Raw genomic sequence first — 18,340 nt, 5'->3', positions numbered from 1 at the left:
ACTGCAACCTTGGCCCCCCAGGTTCAAGCGATTCTCCTGCCTCAGCCTCCTGAGTAGCTGGGATTGTAGGTGCCCGCCACCATGCCTGGCTAATTTTTGTGTGTTTAGTAGAGATGGAGTTTCACCATGTTGGCCAGGCTGGTTTCGAACTCCTGACCTAGGTGATCCACCCACCTCGGCCTCCCAAAGTGCTGGGATTACAGGCGTGAGCCACCACGCCTGGCCAAGGCATTTCTTAAACATGGCACAATAAGGCTTAGTAATGAAGAGCACAGGCTTTGGAGTTAGAGTTGCTGGGTTTGAATTCTGGCTTTATTTTTGCTGTGTGACCTACATTATTTAACCCCTCTGTGTCTCATTTACTGCACCTGCAAAATGGGGATTATAGAGTTGATGTGGGAATTAAAGAAAGCTCATTCATGTTAAGTCTTTAGAACTGTACCTGGCAGATAGACAGTCCTCAATAAAAGTTAGCCATTTTCACTTAACATGTGGTAAGTGTTTAATAAGTTGAACTCAATCAGTGTAACTAATCCAGGCTACTAAGAAAAACAAAGAAGATACTCGATTGCTTTAATAATTTAATTCTAGGAGGAAATGATAAAGACGATGATTAATATTTCAGCATCCTGTCTAGTACCTATTAGTCTGTTAGTGTTATGAAAGAACATTGTGAGTTCTAAATATACAACCAAACCATGAACCATGCCACAGTAACTCTTATTCTTAAAAATCGGCTTCCTTTAGTAATTCACTGAATTACATTAAGGTTAGCAGGGACGATAGTTGGCTCAAAGGTAACACTAAATTCTATTTCATATGTTGGCAGTGTTGATATGTAAAATTTTTCTGTAGAGATGGTTGATTTATTTTTGGAGAGTGAAAGAGGGGTATGGAATAAGTAGAAATTTCCTTTCTGATACAGACATTACTGGTTGGCAGTATTTGAGGGAACTGCTGTAATCTCTCAGTGCTGTTGTTTTCTGTGTCTGACTTCTTGCCTGCACTCCTAGCTTGGTGAGAGATTGTCGATTTTCTCTTTAAGTATAGACCAGGTTGTCTTGGCTACCCTCCTTTCCTACGTGTAGAGTTCCAAGTGTTTTACATGCAGTAACCCATTTGCTTAATCTTCACAATAACCCCGTGAAGTAGATTCTGTTACTGTCCCCATTTTACAGATGAGAAAACTAAGGTGTAGTATGTCTACACTCATACTGGTAGTAGCACAGAGCTAGGATTCAGACCTGGGCTTTGTGGTTCCTGAGTCCAGCTCTTAACTGCTGGACTACGTGACTTCTCCAAAAGTAGCGTGCAGCTGATAGAAGGAATTATTTGTAACCTGGAGCCTTTTATTTTTTTTTTTAACATGTTTCAGCAGACAGTTAAAATAAGGCTCACCCATAGGAATGCTGCATGCAGATGTGTATGCGAGTAGGAGAAAGGTCAAGAAGGACTTACACACAGCTTTGGGTTCTGTACGTAGCGAATCTGTCATGTACTAGTTCCAGGTACCTGTTTACCAGATGAAAAGATCCCATTGTTGTCTTAATCTAAATTGCTGAGTTCTTATTGCTACTTTAAAATTGTTCACTGCCAATCTGTAGAGAAGTAGTGGAAGTGAATGATGTGTACTGGATTTCCTTTTATTTCTCCTGATATTCAGGAGCAGGCAGGAAGAGGGAAAAGGAGAGCTTGAGCTTTCCATAGACTGGCAACTGAGGTCATTACTGATTAAGACTTGTGCATATTAAATAAAACATTGTCACATTTCCTTTTCAGGAGCCAACAGTTGGAAGTCAGATTCAGAGAGTAGTGAGCATGGCTGCCTTGGCCATGGTGTGTGAGGCCATAGACCAGAAGCCTGAGCTGCAGCTGGACTCTCTCCATGCTGGGCCCCTGGAAAGCTTCCTTTCCTCTCTTCAGCTCAATCAGACGCTGCAGAAGCCCCACGCAGAGGAGCAGAGCAGTTATGCTCACCCCTTGGAGTGCAGCAGGTACAGGGAAGGTTAAGGCTTAAAAATCCATTTCTGTTGTTGTCACCGTGAGTTCATGATTGCCCAACATTGCTTATAAAGTTATAGAATTTTGGGGCTGAAGCTCCATTCAGGATGAAAGTGTGGTATAACATTATTCATCTCTGTTACTGGAGACTTGCTGACTTTTCTGCATCTAGTTTTCACTGAATCATTTCAGATGAGCAAAAGTACCTACTTTCAGAGAAGTTAGAAAATTAAGGTTTATGTGGTTTCCTTAGTTTTTGGTAGATAGGCTGTTTGATAATGACCATTTATATCTGTACACTGCCCCCCCCCCCCCACCTTTAGAAAGGATAGTGTGCTACGTGCAAAAGACGTGGAGGCAAATTGGGGAAGTATGGCCTAGTAACTTTATTTTTTATTTCAGTGTTTTGGAAGAATCGTCATCTTCCCAAGGATGGGGAAAAATAGTTGCACAATATATTCATGATCAATGGGTGTGCCTCTCTTTCCTGTTGAAAAAATATCACACCCTTATACCAACCACAGGGAGTGAAATTCTGGAACCGTTTCTACCTGCCGTTCAGATGCCAATAAGGACTTTGCAGTCTGCACTAGAAGCCCTCACAGTTCTTTCTTCTGATCAAGTTTTACCAGTGTTCCATTGCTTGAAAGTGTTGGTTCCCAAGGTAAGATAGAGTGAAACATGAATTGAACAGTAACTATAGGAGTGGCGATCAAGTTTTTGAAATAAGTATGTATTTTTTTTTTTCCTACCAGCTTCTGACTTCCTCTGAATCACTCTGCATAGAGTCTTTTGACATGGCGTGGAAAATTATATCTTCTTTAAGCAACACTCAGCTGATATTCTGGGCTAATTTAAAAGCTTTTGTTCAGTTTGTTTTTGATAACAAAGTTCTTACCATTGCTGCCAAAATCAAGGGCCAGGCATATTTCAAAATAAAAGAGGTAACTAACTTTCTTTTCTTTTTGCTTTTCTTTTCATGTGTGTGAGCTTCAGCACATGAGGAACATGAGAGTTGTATTCACAATTAGATTTTTGGCTCTTTATTCCTTCAGTCAAAAATATTTTTGAACCTTCTTAAATATCAAGAGTAAGAATGAGAAAATCTGACAGATGTAGAAGAGAAGGTACAAAACGGTAGCCTGGAGCCACATCTGCCTCAGAAACGGTTTGTTTGGTTCATACAGTGTTTAAAATTTTGATTACCTGGCAACTTTTAATTGTTGGGAAATCTGGCCAGGCGGGGTGGCTCATGCCTGTGATCCCACCACTTTGAGAGGCTGAGGCGGGCGGATCACGTGAGGTCAGGAGCTCGAGACAAGCCTGGCCAACGTGGCAAAACCCCGTCTTTACTAAAAATACAAAAATTAGCCAGGTGTGGTGGCGCACGCCTGTAATCCCAGCTACTCAGGAGGCTGAGGCAGGAGAATTGCTTGAACCCAGGAGGCGGTGGTTGCAGTGAGCTGACATCACGCCACTGCACTCCAGCCTGGGCAACAGAGCAAGACTCCATCTCAAAAAAAAAAAAAGTTGGGAAATCTGTATGAAAAACTGGATTTCTTGGAAATGAGGTAATCTAGCAACACTGGTCATTCTTCCATGACAATGTAATTGATCGCTCGGTTGAGTAGGAGTTGGCATGCTCTTTCCACAATCAGTCTCATTTCACCCGGATACTTGAAGGCAAATGTCAGGCGCCATTTGTCATTGCACTTTGGCTGAGGTTTTTTTTTGTGTGTGTAGAGAAATATTTTTCTGACTGTAACCCTTATCAAAAGGTCTTGCTGGTTTCTGGAGGTATTTTCATTTGCAGCTACTGAGATAGGAACATACCAAGGTGGAGTTCCAGTGTACCTCCTGATCCCCAGGGGAACAGGGAGAGTCAGATTCCGTTATTTCTCTGCAGCCCTGTGCTGCCTTTCTTGGTCCTTTTCTGCCCCACAGTACATAGTTAGAGACGCTGGTCTTTGCTGCCTCAGCCAAAGGAAGGCCACTGGCAAAATGCAAACAAAGGAAGCTGAATGTGTGTGGGGTGAGGTGTTTTTCCCCTTTGATTCTACTGCTTTGGCAGTTGTTTCTCTTGAAGAGTCCTGGATGAATATCACTATCAGTAAAATTTTATTTATTTTTATTATCAAGAGATGAAATAGCATTCTCTGATTATTGATCATCTCGCAAAGTTATTCTAACAGTAATGAATTTAACAGTTTTTAGACTGTTCATGATTATGTTGAAACTAAGTAACAGTTTTTAGCAGCACTGATTTTTTAAAAACTAAATCAAGGATAAAATGACGGTTGTATTTTATTCCAGATTATGTACAAGATAATTGAAATGTCTGCTATAAAGACTGGAGTCTTCAATACACTGATAAGTTACTGCTGTCAGTCTTGGATAGTGTCTGCTTCAAATGTGTCCCAAGGATCTTTATCAAGTGCTAAAAATTATAGCGAACTTATCCTTGAGGCTTGTATATTTGGAACTGTGTTTAGGCGTGATCAAAGGTAAAAGATGCTATTATTTCAACTGGTCATAACTTGTATTAAGTGCCTACTTGGGTATAGAATTATGTCTTTGTTTTGAGGCTTTCAATTAAAAGAATATAAATTATTAGTTAACTTTAACCTTGGGGATTTAATTTTTTTTCTATTTAAAACCTGTTGTTCTTTATCAAATGTTTTTTATGGAAAGACTTGTTCAGGATGTACAGACCTTCATAGAAAACCTTGGACATGACTGTGCGGCAAATATTGTTATGGAAAAGTAAGTATGGTAGATTTTCTCTGTCTTCACATAAATGAGATACTAAAAATTTAACATCATATGACAAACATTCTGTATTTGCTAAATTTAATAAGTGACATCTAATATATTAATAAGATGGGATGAGCCTTTAAAAGTATGTTAGAAATTATAGTCCCTTGCTAATACATTGTCTTTACATCTTTCAGTATTCACTAGAATTTGATAAAATTTTAAAAGTTTTTAGTGCCGACTCCAGCGTAAACAAGGAAATGACTATGGAGAGCTTAAAGCCCCTGTCTTTCTTTTGCGGGGATGGGATGATTATCAGCACAGACACTTTATTCTCCAGTCCTTTTTTTGGCAGTAAAGTTTAATATGAAATTAAAATTCACCATTTAACAAGTTGGTATGTTACACACAAAAATAGAATTACTCTTGGAACAGACTCTGAAGTTTTTGGTTTTTTTAAAACTCTTTATTGAAGTAATGATTGACATGTAAAAAGCTGTACATAGTTAATGTGTACAACTTGATGAGTGTGGGGATAGGCCCTAAGTTTTGATTTCTGCGATAAAACTATTTTTATCTAACCACTGAATTAATTTTTTTGGAGCTTGTCAAATAGCTTTTTTTCAAGTTTTATTTTTTCACATGGCTTTCAAAAATGTGTACGTGTGTTTATAGAGATGATTAAAATAGCATTGTATCATTCACTCTAATTTTAGAGTTTAGGACATCAAATGATTATAATATTTAGTTATCATAAAGTATTTATTATTCTGAAAGTCCTAACTGTGTTGTAAATCATCTGTCACTTCTCATGAAAGATATACATTTTTTTCATTGTTTTTAGTTATTTTTTCTTGGCTGGCTTAGTGTGGCAATAAAAGTCAATTTTTCTAGTTGGTGGTTGCCAAATAATTTGATTTTGATTTCTACTAGGCAGTTACTTTGTTGTTAAATTAAAATATTTATTCACATTATAACAATTATAATGAAATGTGAACAATTATAACGGAATGTGACGATTTCACTTAATTTATCTTTCCACATTTGGCTACTAAAAATGCCGGGTGTTGAGAGCACACAGTGCTTCCTGAGTTTGCCCCTCAGTTGGAGAATGTGCACCGATAGTGCATGGTAGAGACAGGCCATTGACGTGTTTGATGTGTATCATGCCCCTGAGTGAATGGAGGTATCTGTGGTCCTCTTTCAGGGATAGGCTCATGAGCTGTGATCTGTTTTGTCCACAAATAAGGTATTATTGAACTAGGTTCAGCAGCGTGTGCATTGATTCTCCAGAAATCTGGATGAATTTGTGCTCATTCATACTTTCTGTATAGACCCTCCTTGTAATATATTCATTTGTTATCTTCTGTTATCTATTCTAAATTAAAAAGTATTGTCATTAAGTATGGACCTACTTAATTTTAGAAAACTTTGAGAGGTTTTGATCGTGTAATGATATTTGAAACTAATATTTGATGTTAATTTTCTGTTTTCAAAATGTATTAACATAATTTATCATTTAATTTTTTTAGTACTAAGAGAGAAGACCATTATGTGAGAATTTGTGCTGTCAAATTCCTGTGTTTATTAGATGGCTCCAATATGTCCCACAAGTTGTTTATTGAGGATCTTGCAATCAAGCTATTAGATAAAGTAAGTGTATTTTACTTTAAATTATCTTTGTTTTTAACAGTCAGAGGTCAACATTTGCTCTTTATGTTGCTAGAATATGTACTTCTAAATATCTTTTGTCAGGAGAAAACACAAAGTTTATGTTCTGTATTTTTAATTCAGTCTTGATTAGGGCTGGTCACACTGTGGCTCACGCCTGTAATCCTAGCACTTTGGGAGGCTGAGGCAGCAGAATTGCTTGAGGCCAGGAGTTTGCGACCAGCTGGGGCAACATAGTGAGACCTTGTCTCTACAAAAAGAAAAAAAAGAAAAAAAATCTTGGTTAGTAATTGTCCAACTCAAGTTTGGTTTTAGAGAACAATAATGGTAATGTTTTTCGTGTACCATCTGTACTTCACTCTGTATTTTCCAGTGCCAGTCAAACCCGGTTGTGTTTTTTGTTTGTTTGTTTTTTCTTCTTCTGAGACAGAGTCTTGCTCTGTCGCCCAGGCTGGAGTGCGATGGCATGATCTGGGATCTCGGCTCACTGCAACCTCCGCCTCCCAGGTTTAAGTGATTCTCCTGCCTCAGCCACCCGAGTAGCTGGGATTACAGGCATCCACCACTATGCCCAGCGAATTTTTTTTTTTTTTGAGACGGAGTTTCGCTCTTGTTGTCCAGGCTGGAGTGCGAAGGTGCGATCTTGGCTCATTGCAACCTCTGCCTCCTGGATTCAAGTGATTCTCCTGCCTCAGCCTCCCGAGTAGCTGGGACTACAGACATGCGCCACCATGCCCGGCTAATTTTGTATTTTTAGTAGAGACGGGGTTTCTCCATGTTGGTCAGGCTGGTCTCGAACTCCCGACCTCAGGTAATCCACCCTCCTTGGCCTCCCAGAGTGCTGGGATTACAGGCATGAGCCACTGTGCCTGGCCTAATTTTTGTATTTTTAGCAGAGACAGGGTTTCACCATGTTGGTCAGAATGGTCTCGAACTCCTGGCCTCAAGTGATCCTCTTGCCTTGGCCTCCCAAAGTGCTGGGATTAGAGGTGTGAGCTACTGTGCTTGGCCCCAGTTATGTTTAGAGTACTATATTCATATATTGCTTTCTGTAAGAAATGGAATGAAAAAGTAAAAACTGAGAAAATGGCATCAAATGTTAGGAATTGATTGCTGTGATTTGAGAGCCCGTGAAAGATTACCCCAGGATTTGCTTCCATTGTAATATATTGTTATTTCTAGATCTGGGTGTGTGATGTTTGTCTAAGACTGATGAAAATTCGTTATTTATTCAGATAAAAACAATCCAGTTAGGTTGTTTTTGAGCCTGCTAAATCATTTCTAAATGAACACTCTAGTGTCTGAAGAACAGGTTTAATAAATCTGGAGACAAGTTAGATAGGAAGGGGTAGAGTTGAGCATGGTGCTCTGTTCCCCATGTAATGTTTAAATGACAGATACAGTTACCTGTCATTTAAAGCCGAGGTCAGCGGAGTGCCTGGTCTGCTTTCTGACCTTGGTGTGGATGTATGAATGACTACAGAACTCATGGAAGTCCCTCTGTTAAAACAGGAGTATTCATCATACTTTTATTTTCTGAAGGTAGCAGGTCAGCTTTATTATATAAAACCTTGGAAATATTTTTTATGCAACAATTCCCTCTCTGTAGTGTTGGAGTCAAGGAAGATGTCCCAGAGGAAATAGTATGTTATTGGTTTTCTAAAAGATGAGTAGAGTTTAAAGTGATAGGAGCTGGGTATGGGTATTCTATCAGAACAAAAATACATGTTATAATATATATTTAGCTATTTAGATAAGGGGTCAGGGCTAGACATGGTGGCTCACGCCTGTAATCCTAGCACTTTGGGAGGCCAAGGCAGGAGGATTGCTTGAGGTCAGTAGTTAGAAACCAGCCTGGGCAACACAGTGAGTGAGACTACGTCTCTAAAAAAAAAAAAAAAAAAAATTCAGAAAAAAGAGAGAGGGGTCAGGAGGGTCTAATCAGGTGACATTTGGGCTGAGCTCTGGATGAATTAAGGAGGACACCTGGAGAGGATGCTGTCTGGAGACCAAGCGAGGAAAGGTAGTGCTGCGTGGAGGACGAGGAGGTTGCAGGCCGGCTGTTGGATTCAGCTGTCTTGGTCACCTCGACAAAGGCGTTTCATGGTGGGATGAGAATCTAAGTAGAAACAGTTCAGAAGAAAATGGGAGTTTAGCGAGTGGAGACAGTGAGTATAGAGTCTCTTAGGAGTTTGCCCTAGAAAAGGGGGAATAACAGGGGTCGTTCCTGGAGGGGAACCTGGAGTTAAAGAAGGGGCTTTTTAAAGATGGGAGATAATTGGAGCATGTTTGTATGTTGAAGGAAGTGGTGCAGTAGAGAGGGAAAAGTGACAGGGAGAGGCCAGCAATAATCACATAGGCAAAATACTAGCCAGTTGTACCCACTGGGATGGCTATCAAGAAAACAAACTAAAAATAATGAGCATTGGTGAGGTTGTAGCAAAATTGGAGCCCTCCTGCATCACTAATGGGAATACAGAACAGTGCAGCTGCTTTGGAAAACGGACTAGAAAAAGCAAAATGCTTGTCTAGAGCAGTAATTCTTAAAGTGTGGTCTCTGGATCAGCAGCGTCAGCATCCCTGGGAACTTGTTAGAAATGCATATTCCTAGGCCCTGCCCCCAGTCTACAGAATCAGAAGCTCTGGGGGTGGTGCCCAGCACTCTGTTTTAATGAGCCCTTGTGATTCTGGAGCTGATACAGTTTAAGAACTATTGGTCTAGCAATAATGAAGGCCCAGATACAGCTGGAATACATATTTTTAAATGTTTAATTTTTGTGGGTCTATAGTAGGTGTATATATTTATGGGGTGTATGAGATATTTTGATATAGGCATACAATGTGTAATAATTACATCAGGTAAATGAGATATCTGTCACCTCAAGCATTTATGCTTTATGTTACAAACAATCCAGTTATACTGTTAGTTATTTTAAAATGTACAATAACTTACTGTAGACTGTAGCCACCTTGTTATACTATGAAATACTAGATCTTATTCATTCTAAGTATATTTTTATACTCATTAGCCATCCCCACACCCTCCCCCTACCACCACTACCCCTCCCAGCCTCTGTGGCAACCATCATTCTATTTTCTATCTCCATGAGTTCAATTGTTTTATTTTTTAGCTCCCACAAATAAGTGAAAACATGAGAAGTTTGTCTTTTTGTGCCTGGCTTATTTCACTGAACATAATGACCTCCAGTTCCATCCATGTTGTTGCAGATGACAGGATCTCATTCTTTTTTATGGCCAAATAGTACTCCATTGTGTGGAATACATATTTTTAATGAAGTCAGTTGTGGCTGGTGATTTTTATTTTCTTCAGTAGTACCTGGCCATGAGTTAAACAGACTAGTAGAGAAAAGATATTCTGAGTAAAGGAGCACACTGAGTGGAACAAGTAGAAAGACAGAAGAAGATTTTGAGCTGAAAGGGAATTTTAGAATTCTCAACTTCCAGTTGAGGGTGGTGACTTGGTGAGGTCCTAAGGGCAGCTTTCTTGACATGAAGATGCTTCTTCTGAATGCGTGAATGATCCACCCTACTGATTCCATTTTTAATTGCATTGAGGTTGAGCAGTATGTGAAACCTAAACACACCTATATCAGAAGAAAATTCTTAACAGAAATTATATAGAGATTATGAGATTTTAAACATCACTGGAGTCATTAAAATCTATATTAATTTAGCTATTGTCATGAAACTTTATATACACTAAAATGCAGAGAACGAGATTATGGAAGAAGAAAGGTCAGAGAAGTTATGAAGTAGATGAGGATCATCTACACTATGTGAAAATGGTTTTGGAGGTGGTGAATGACTTTTCACCTTTAAGACATTTGAGAATGTTGACATACTCTTCAGTGCCATCTTGCTTTATGGCCAAAGCACTAATAGTTATGGTGATAAAAGCAAACCTTGCAGCTGGCTGAATTTAGGCGGCACAAGCCATGAAAAGCCAGAGAGAGCTATCTGTTACTAGGAAAGGCTCAGTGCTGCCATTTTCTTGTGTCGAGAGACACGTCATGCGTAGAGATGCCTTGCACTGTCCATGTACTGGGGTGGCTTCTTAGTGGTGTTTGCATCAGATTGTAGATACCAGTATTCCAAATGTGAATATGACACGGGGGCACAAGGTGAGAAGTGCCTGTGAGGTACATGGTAGTATGTGGCAATATATGTCCAGTATCTCAATCTCTTTTCGCCCCTGGAACCCATAGCTCCCAGTTTTTTGGCCCTCTTCTAATTTTAAAAACACTTAGCCAGGCGCCATGGCTCATGCCTGTAATCCTAGCACTTTGGGAGGCTGAGGCGGGTGGATCACCTGAGGTCAGGAGCTCGAGGCCAGCCTGGCCAACATGGTGAAACCCCATCTCTACTAAAAATACAGAAGTTAGCTGGGTGTGGTGGCGGGCGCCTGTAGTCCCAGCTACTCGGGAGGCTGAGGCAGGAGAATTGCTAGAACCCGGGAGGCGGAGGTTGCAGTGAGCTGAGATCACGCCATTGCACTCCAGCCTGGGCAACAGAGTAAGACTCCATCTCAAAAAAGAAAACAAACAAACAAAAAACATGTAAGTTAAAAGCAACTAAGTTCAGTGTTTGAAGTGTTTTATTTAAAAATTTTTTTATTTTTCTTAATCACTCAGCCCAAAATGTCAATGTTTGAAATATTTTAAGGTGCCATTCTTTTTCTCATCCTCCTAACTGCTTTTTGGGGGAAGAAAAAGCCCCTGTGCCTAATTTAAGCCACTTACATTTCAAGTTGTCATTGATTTTTTCATTAATCACAAATTCAATAGATAATTTAATGTTGACTCCCTCCCTTCTCCTTTCCAGGATGAATTAGTGTCCAAGTCCAAAAAACGCTACTATGTGAATTCTCTACAGCACAGAGTGAAAAACCGAGTGTGGCAGACTCTGCTGGTACTTTTCCCTAGACTTGACCAGGTATCATATTTTTATTATATTTGTACCTTTGAAGCATATGATTTCATGACTGAACTATTTTGCAGAAACTATCATATACTATTTTAAAATTGAAAAAGATAATGTTTAAAATTTATTCTGCAGTTCTTAAAATTGAAGTTATTCAAAAGTTTTTATTAACAGAGAGAATACCAAGGCAATTAGGTATTGTAGAAATAAGTTAGAAGTGGGTTTACATGGCCCCATTTAATATTTTTTTCCCTTCGGTGTTTTAATGTGACATTTTAACTGTTTAAAGTCTGATTTGCCATTTGATTAGAAAATGCAAATACTTAACTCCTAATTTTCTGTAGCTACGTTATTTTGGAGTGTTACACTGTTTTGGATTATCTGTACTGTAGAAACCAGGCAAATTGTATCATTTGGGATGGGAATATTGTTTCACATGGTGGATTTCCTTGCCCTTAACTTCATGAATAGTGTGACCATACAAACCAGCTAAGGAAAGGCCAGGTATCTTACAACAAAGTATCTTTATCCAAAGTTACCTTTTCTTCCCTGAGGAGGCAAGAAACAGTTGAATGGACGATCTGATTTTTCTAACCATCTTTGCCTAATATTCCTGTTGAGAAAATAGATCATCATTATGAGAAAGTGATGGTATATAACTCATGCAATTTTTAAAAACATTTTTCAATGCAAAAAACATCTTTCAGACATGAAAATTTCCTACTGTCCTCCCTACCTTCTTTTAAATGTGTGAGAGAATTACAAATATATATACTAGCCTCTTTCTTTACAATCTTATGAAGTCTTATATCTGTGAGAGAGAAATAGTAACAGTGTAAGTATATAAGTATATTCAAATAAAACAATTTGGAATAATTTAAGAGGAAATAGCTAAAAGAATTGCTTCTGGGGAGTAGTTTTGATGGATGTGGGGGGTGGGGGAGGTTGCTATTTTTCATCATAGGTCTTTTAGTATTATTTGATTTAAAGTATGTCATTAAACATAAGGATGCATTAAAAAAGGAAACATTTTAGAAATGCTCAACTAGATTACCGAGAGCATTTTTTTCTTAGAATGGAGAGGGTCTCCTAGAGAGAAGGGTAATGTTGGAGAGGGTGGGGAAATGTCCGAGCGGGCACACCTGCAAGAAAAAGGAAAGCTAGCAGTCTGTTATGGAGCTCAGAGTTGTAAACTGTTATATCTTATGGTTTTGTTTAACCTTCATGATAGTCTTCCAAGGTAGGCCATACATATTCTCATTTTGCCTCTAAGAGCACTGCAGTTGAGAGAGGTTAGGTGTCCTTCCCGAGAGGTTACACAGCTAGTGGTGAATGATAGAGGTGGAATTCAAAATCAAGCCTAACTACAAAATGTATGCTCCACTTTATGACACTATCTCAGGGCTTAAAATGAGCCCTTCTGCTCTTTTTCTACTAAGTAGAAATTCGTGTAAGATAGATTTTTCTTCTTTAAAATAAAGACGTACATAATACATATTACTTTTATTTTATTTTATTTTATTTTTATTTTTATTTTTTTTGAGACGGAGTCTTGCTCTTTCACCCAGGCTGGAGTGCAGTGGCACGATCTCGGCTCACTGCAGGCTCCGCCCCCCAGGGTTCACGCCATTCTCCTGCCTCAGCCTCCCGCGTAGCTGGGACTACAGGCGCCCACCACCTCACCCGGCTAATTTTTTGTATTTTTAGTAGAGACGGGGTTTCACCGTGTTAGCCAGGATGGTCTCGATCTTCTGACCTTGTGATCCGCCCGCCTCGGCCTCCCAAAGTGCTGGGATTACAGGCATGAGCCACTGTGCCCGGCCAATACATATTACTTTTATATGCTTATATAAGTAGATATTGTTTTTCACCTGCTGCTTAGATAGGTTCCGTCCCCCGATAGAAATACAGTTTTGAAGAGGAGAGGTTGGAAGAGGGAAAGATGATTTTGGAGCTCAAGGTCTTAGCCAGAGAACAGTGCGGTAGTTGTGGGGCAACACAGACCATGAGGGCAGGAGGACGACGAGCCTGAACAGAGGGCTCAGTGGCCCAAGACCTGCCCCTCTGGGATGCTGTTTCCCACCTGCTGACTTCAGTCTCTGTACCATCCCTTGTTACAAGGTTTAAGCCCTGGCATCTTGGCAGATCTTGATTTGAACCTGAATTCTTCCACTTACTAGGTATGTGACTTTGGGAGGGTTATTCAGCTTTTCTGAGTCTTTTCCTTTCCCTGTAAAAATACAGGTGATGGATAACCTTCCTTATAGATAGAACTGATGTCCAGGTAAATTATAAAGTACTGAATGAAGGTACTTCATCATTATATTTTAATCAGTAGTTTTTAGAGTCTTTGCTCGGAGAGTTGTAGATCCAATAAATTACTTATGATAAAAACTTTAAGCTATTTTATTTTAAATGGAGACTATTTTTAAATTAAAATGAATAACTGTAACTGGTTAATTGTGAACTTTTTTTCTCAGAATTTCTTGAATGGAATTATTGACAGGATTTTCCAGGCTGGTTTCACCAACAATCAAGCATCCATAAAATATTTTATAGAATGGATTATTATATTGATTCTTCATAAATTCCCTCAATTTCTTCCAAAGTTCTGGGATTGTTTTTCTTATGTAAGTAAAGAATATTTTTTATATATTTTTAAACTAAGACATGATTTTGACAATGCTGGGAGATTTGTTTCACTTAAATAGTTGTTTTTGACTCTCAGTTGCCCTATTGTATTGACATCATAAGTTATGTTTTGCAAGATCTGAATTAATTCAGAAGACAGAAATCCCTGGCATTCATTTTGAATATTTCATAGTTTTTGAGAGCTGTTCTATTCAACAAAATAAAGATGGAAAAGGCATTTGTCATTAAGAAGTAAGGGAAATAGGTGCATTCCGTATTCTTATTTACCAAGCAATGTCTTTGTTTGATCTTAGAAATATGAACGATGAGGAATTAATTGCGTTCCTTAAAATTGAAAAAAAGGTTTTGGGAGATTTCAAACATAACGTAGAAAGAATAGAAGTAATATCAGTTCATTTCCTTTCTTGTTTCATCTGTACCCTCACACACTCCCCTAATCGCTTTCCAACTTTTCTCATATATTGAAAATCATTTTTAAGGAATTGATACTAAAATTAGTGATAGAGTTTATCATTGCTGGCTTCCTGACAAAGAGCAAATTGTTTCCAAGAATCAGTTCTATATCTTGAATGCTTTCTTTTGGTTTCCAAATGCACCTTTCCCTTTCATAATAGATGATCTTGTCTTCTTCTTTGTGTGAAAATGGAGGTGCATTCCTCAAAATATCTCTTTCTCCATTTCTTCCTATTTCAGGAAAGATATCCTTATTCTTTTTTTTCACATCTATCCCCTGTGACCTGTTTGTGTCTCCTTTGGGACCTCACTGAATTCTTCACGCTTGTTCTGTTGACTTTTCCTCCACCCAGCTATCATCCAGTGTCTTCCTTTCTTTACTGTTAAACTTCAATGTGTGATCTTTGCCTTCCTCAAATCACTGAGGTCCACTCCATTTTCAACAGTGATACATCAAGGATTTTATCTGAGCTGCAGACAGCCTTTCTCTTTTCCTCCATGCTCCCCACTTTAATTTCACGCCTTCGCATTGGTAGTGGCTTTCTCCACAGCTGATCCTCACACTGCAGTCAACTTCATAATTCCCTTCCTATTGTGCTGATAACTTCTCTATTTCCTTCACATACTTGCTTCCCTCTCCCAACCCTTATGCTTGGTTTTATCTGAAGAGTCGCTGGTTAGCCTGTCTGCTTCTCTTTCTGCACTTCCTTAGCATAGTAAAGCCCATCTCGGCCGGTCCCTGCTTCTCCAGCCACCTGCAGGGCCTTTCCATAATCACTTCAAACTTCACCCTGTGTTAAACTAAACTGGTAACAGCATCTGGCCCTGAAATTGGCTCCCCTTTCTGATGTCTTTCATTCTCCCAGTCTCCTAGCTTAAAACCTGGGTGTCACCATAAGCAGCAGAAACAGCAGCCTCACCATAATCCTCAAAGACAGGTTGGAGTTTTTACCCTTATGAAGAAAACAACGATTAAGTGAGTCGTCACACCACTAAGAAATGACAATGCTTTGGCCAGGAGTGGCGGCTCATGCCTATAATCCCAACAGTTTTAGAGGCTGAGGCGGGAGAATTACTTGAGGTCAGGAGTTTGAGACCAGCCTGGCCAACATGGTGAAACCCCGTCTCTACTAAAAATACAGAAATTAGCCAGGTGGGGTGGTGCACACCTGTGGTCCCAGCTACTTGGGAGGCTGAGGCAGGAGAATAGCTTGAACCCAGGGAGGTGGAGGTTGCAATGAGCCAGGATCACGCCACTGCACTCCAGATGGCATCAAAGTGAGACTCCGTCTCAAAAATTTTCATCTCTTTCCAGGCTCCTCTGGCTCTTCTTTTTCATCTTCGTGTTCCTATAATGAAGAAACAGATTCTGTTATTTTTCCTTGAGTTGCCTTTTAGATCCATAGCTTTATTAATGTAGTTTGTTTATGTCACCTCTCAAATGGGTTAGCACTGCCCCAGGAATTCTCACAAAGGGCAGGTTGGTTCTGGTGTACCCCCAAAACTTCCTGGTGCTCCCATCCACAGTAGTGCCAGTTGTTACTTTTATTTGCTTAGCTCAGCCTCTCACTCGTCATTAGACCTTGTATATTCTCTTCGAATCTGATTTTACCTGTGGACATCAGACAGAGTTTTTGATGTAGGCAAAGGAAGCTTTTGCTGATGGAATCAAAATGGGATTCAAAAAAGGTAGTGGGGAAGAGGGGAGTAGTAGGTAGCTTACAGAACACCGGGAAAGCTACAGAATCAGAACTGGAAAATTGGCAGGAACAGGGGAGGCTCAGTGGCTTCCAGAAATGCAACCACAGGCAGGCCAGAGAGAGCTAGTTCACTGGGGACATTACCCCACTGGACACACGGTGCCTTCAGCAGGGCTTTGCTATAGCCAGCTGTATACCTACTGTCTCTGCTGCCTGCAGTGGAGGAGGGTTTTCTGTGAGCTCTGCTTCTCTAAGTTGTAAGTTCTCAATTTAGGAATCAGAAATGGAGTCTTTGGAACCGGGTCAGGTGCCTTCTTGTTAGTGGCAAGGAGGCTGGGAAGATGAATACCTGGCATTTTTCAGTGTCCCCCAACACTCATAAGATGGAAGAATTCCCTAAACTTGGAAGGGGATTCAGGATAGATATCAAAGAAAGGGGCAGTTGTCCACTACACCCTTTTCCTCCTTTATTCAAAGCAAATTACCTTAACCTTTATTTTTTTAGAGAAAATAACAGTTGCCACCTAGGAATACCTAAATCTTCTCTAGAGCAATCAGACAAATCTGCCTATGTCAGTATCCATCTGAGATTTCTTCCTTTTACCATAAAGGAGTAGAATCTTCTCCAGTGCCAGAGTAATTCTTCCACTGAGTCTTTGGCCCTCTTCCCTCCTGTCTTCTCAGGCATTTGTTGCTATCAGCCTGTCTTCTATCCTCAGTCTCTCCTTAGCCAAATGGTCCCATTGGCTTTTCAACAGGCTCGAGTTGCATCCATTTTCTGTGGATATTTACACTGGATGTTTTCTCGTCCCTCTCCTATAATCACCCTGGCTCTCTACTATTTCATCATCAGACTTCCTGAAAGAGGTGCCTGTGTTCCAGAGGTTTAGTTTTTTTTTAATTTACTAATTTTATTAATTTTTTTGAGACAGAGTCTCGCTCTGTCGCCCAGACTGGAGTGCAGTGGTGCGATATTGGCTCACTGCAACCTCCGCCTCCCAGCTTTAAGCAATTCTCCTGCCTCAGCCTCCTGAGTAGCTGGGACTACAGGTGTGCACCACCATGCCCGGCTAATTTTTGTATTTTTAGTAGAGATGGGTTTTACCATGTTGGCCAGGCTGGTCTTGAACTCCTGACCTCAGGTGATCTGCCCGCTTCGGCCTCCCTAAGTGCTGGGATTACAGGCATGAGCCACCGCGCCCAGCCTTATTTTTTCACATCCTTCCCAACCCACTCTTGAATCCATGGTAGACCAGCTTCCAGTTCAGTTACTTCTCAGAAGACACTGTTGCAGGAGTCAAGAGTGACTGACTGACGAGTCAGTGGTCAGCCTTTGTCTTCTTCTGTCAGCCACATGCATGCTGCTGACCATTTTCTTATTCTTGCTTCTAGTGACACACACTTCTCTGGTTCCTCCTGCCCTCTTTTCTGTGTCCTTTCCAGGCTTTTCTTTCCCTGCCTACCTCTTAAATGGTGGTGCTTCTCTAGAGCTAGGCTTTTTTTATTATTATTAATTTCTTATTTTTATAGTCAGTCTTATCTGTGTTGTGGATTCACATATTACCTAATGTGAATGACTTACTCATTAGTATTTGTATGCCACACATCTTCCCCTGACTCTAGATCAGGAGTTGGCAAGCTACAGCCAAATTTGGGCTGGCAGAGTTATATTGGAACACAGCCATGTCCATGCATTTTCATATTGTCTGTGGCTGTGTTTGTGCTAACGTGGCAGAGTTGAACAGTTGCAGCAGAGACTGCGTGGCCCACAAAGCCATGTTTTTGTGTATTGCTTGGCCCTTTACAGAACAAGTTTTCTGACCCTTGCTGTAGACGTTTTCCTTGTAGATGATTTTCCCTTAGACTAAATAACCTAAAACGTAGATGTGTAACACTGAGTGCCTTATTTTTCCCCTCAAACTTGATCTGCTTCCTACTCTAGTGAATACCACCACCATCTATACAGTTGCACAAACCAGAAACCTTGACACTTTCCATGCTCTGTGTCTGATTCGTGACCAGGTCCTGATCTTTCTGCCTGAATATTTCTGAGTTCTCTCTCTTCTGTCCCTGCCATTGTATCTCAGTCGACGCTACTGTCATCCTTGCAGTGGTTCCCTCACTGGGCTGCCTACATCCACTCTTGGCTCTGTTTCCATCTGCTTTCC

The 18,340-nt window shown here is 40.2% G+C and overlaps 1 protein-coding gene across 17 annotated transcripts in view; it reads left to right on the top strand.

Moving 5' to 3' along the window:
- The window catches only part of TARBP1 (tRNA guanosine 2 -O-methyltransferase TARBP1), an 87,867-nt gene that overhangs the window by 47,099 nt on the left and 22,428 nt on the right, over positions 1–18,340 (top strand). For 13 of the 17 annotated variants that reach the window (XR_007063103.1, XR_949157.3, XM_005273234.4 and 10 more), the window contains 8 exons: positions 1,780–1,994; positions 2,404–2,665; positions 2,757–2,945; positions 4,315–4,505; positions 4,693–4,764; positions 6,288–6,408; positions 11,269–11,379; positions 13,848–13,997. Coding sequence is in view for 15 of the 17 variants with exons in the window: in XM_005273234.4 (XP_005273291.1) it covers positions 1,780–1,994; positions 2,404–2,665; positions 2,757–2,945; positions 4,315–4,505; positions 4,693–4,764; positions 6,288–6,408; positions 11,269–11,379; positions 13,848–13,997 (1,311 nt within the window). In the remaining 2 variants the exon portion in view is untranslated. The remainder of the gene's footprint in view (positions 1–1,779; positions 1,995–2,403; positions 2,666–2,756; positions 2,946–4,314; positions 4,506–4,692; positions 4,765–6,287; positions 6,409–11,268; positions 11,380–13,847; positions 13,998–18,340) is intronic. The other 4 variants (XM_047429060.1, XM_011544263.3, XM_047429072.1 and 1 more) reach the window with 1 other exon arrangement.

The sequence above is a fragment of the Homo sapiens genome, chromosome 1 (genome assembly GCF_000001405.40).
Source record: "Homo sapiens chromosome 1, GRCh38.p14 Primary Assembly".
NCBI lineage: Eukaryota > Metazoa > Chordata > Mammalia > Primates > Hominidae > Homo > Homo sapiens.
Note: the sequence above shows the minus strand (reverse complement) of the source record. Positions and strands in the feature narration are given on the sequence as shown.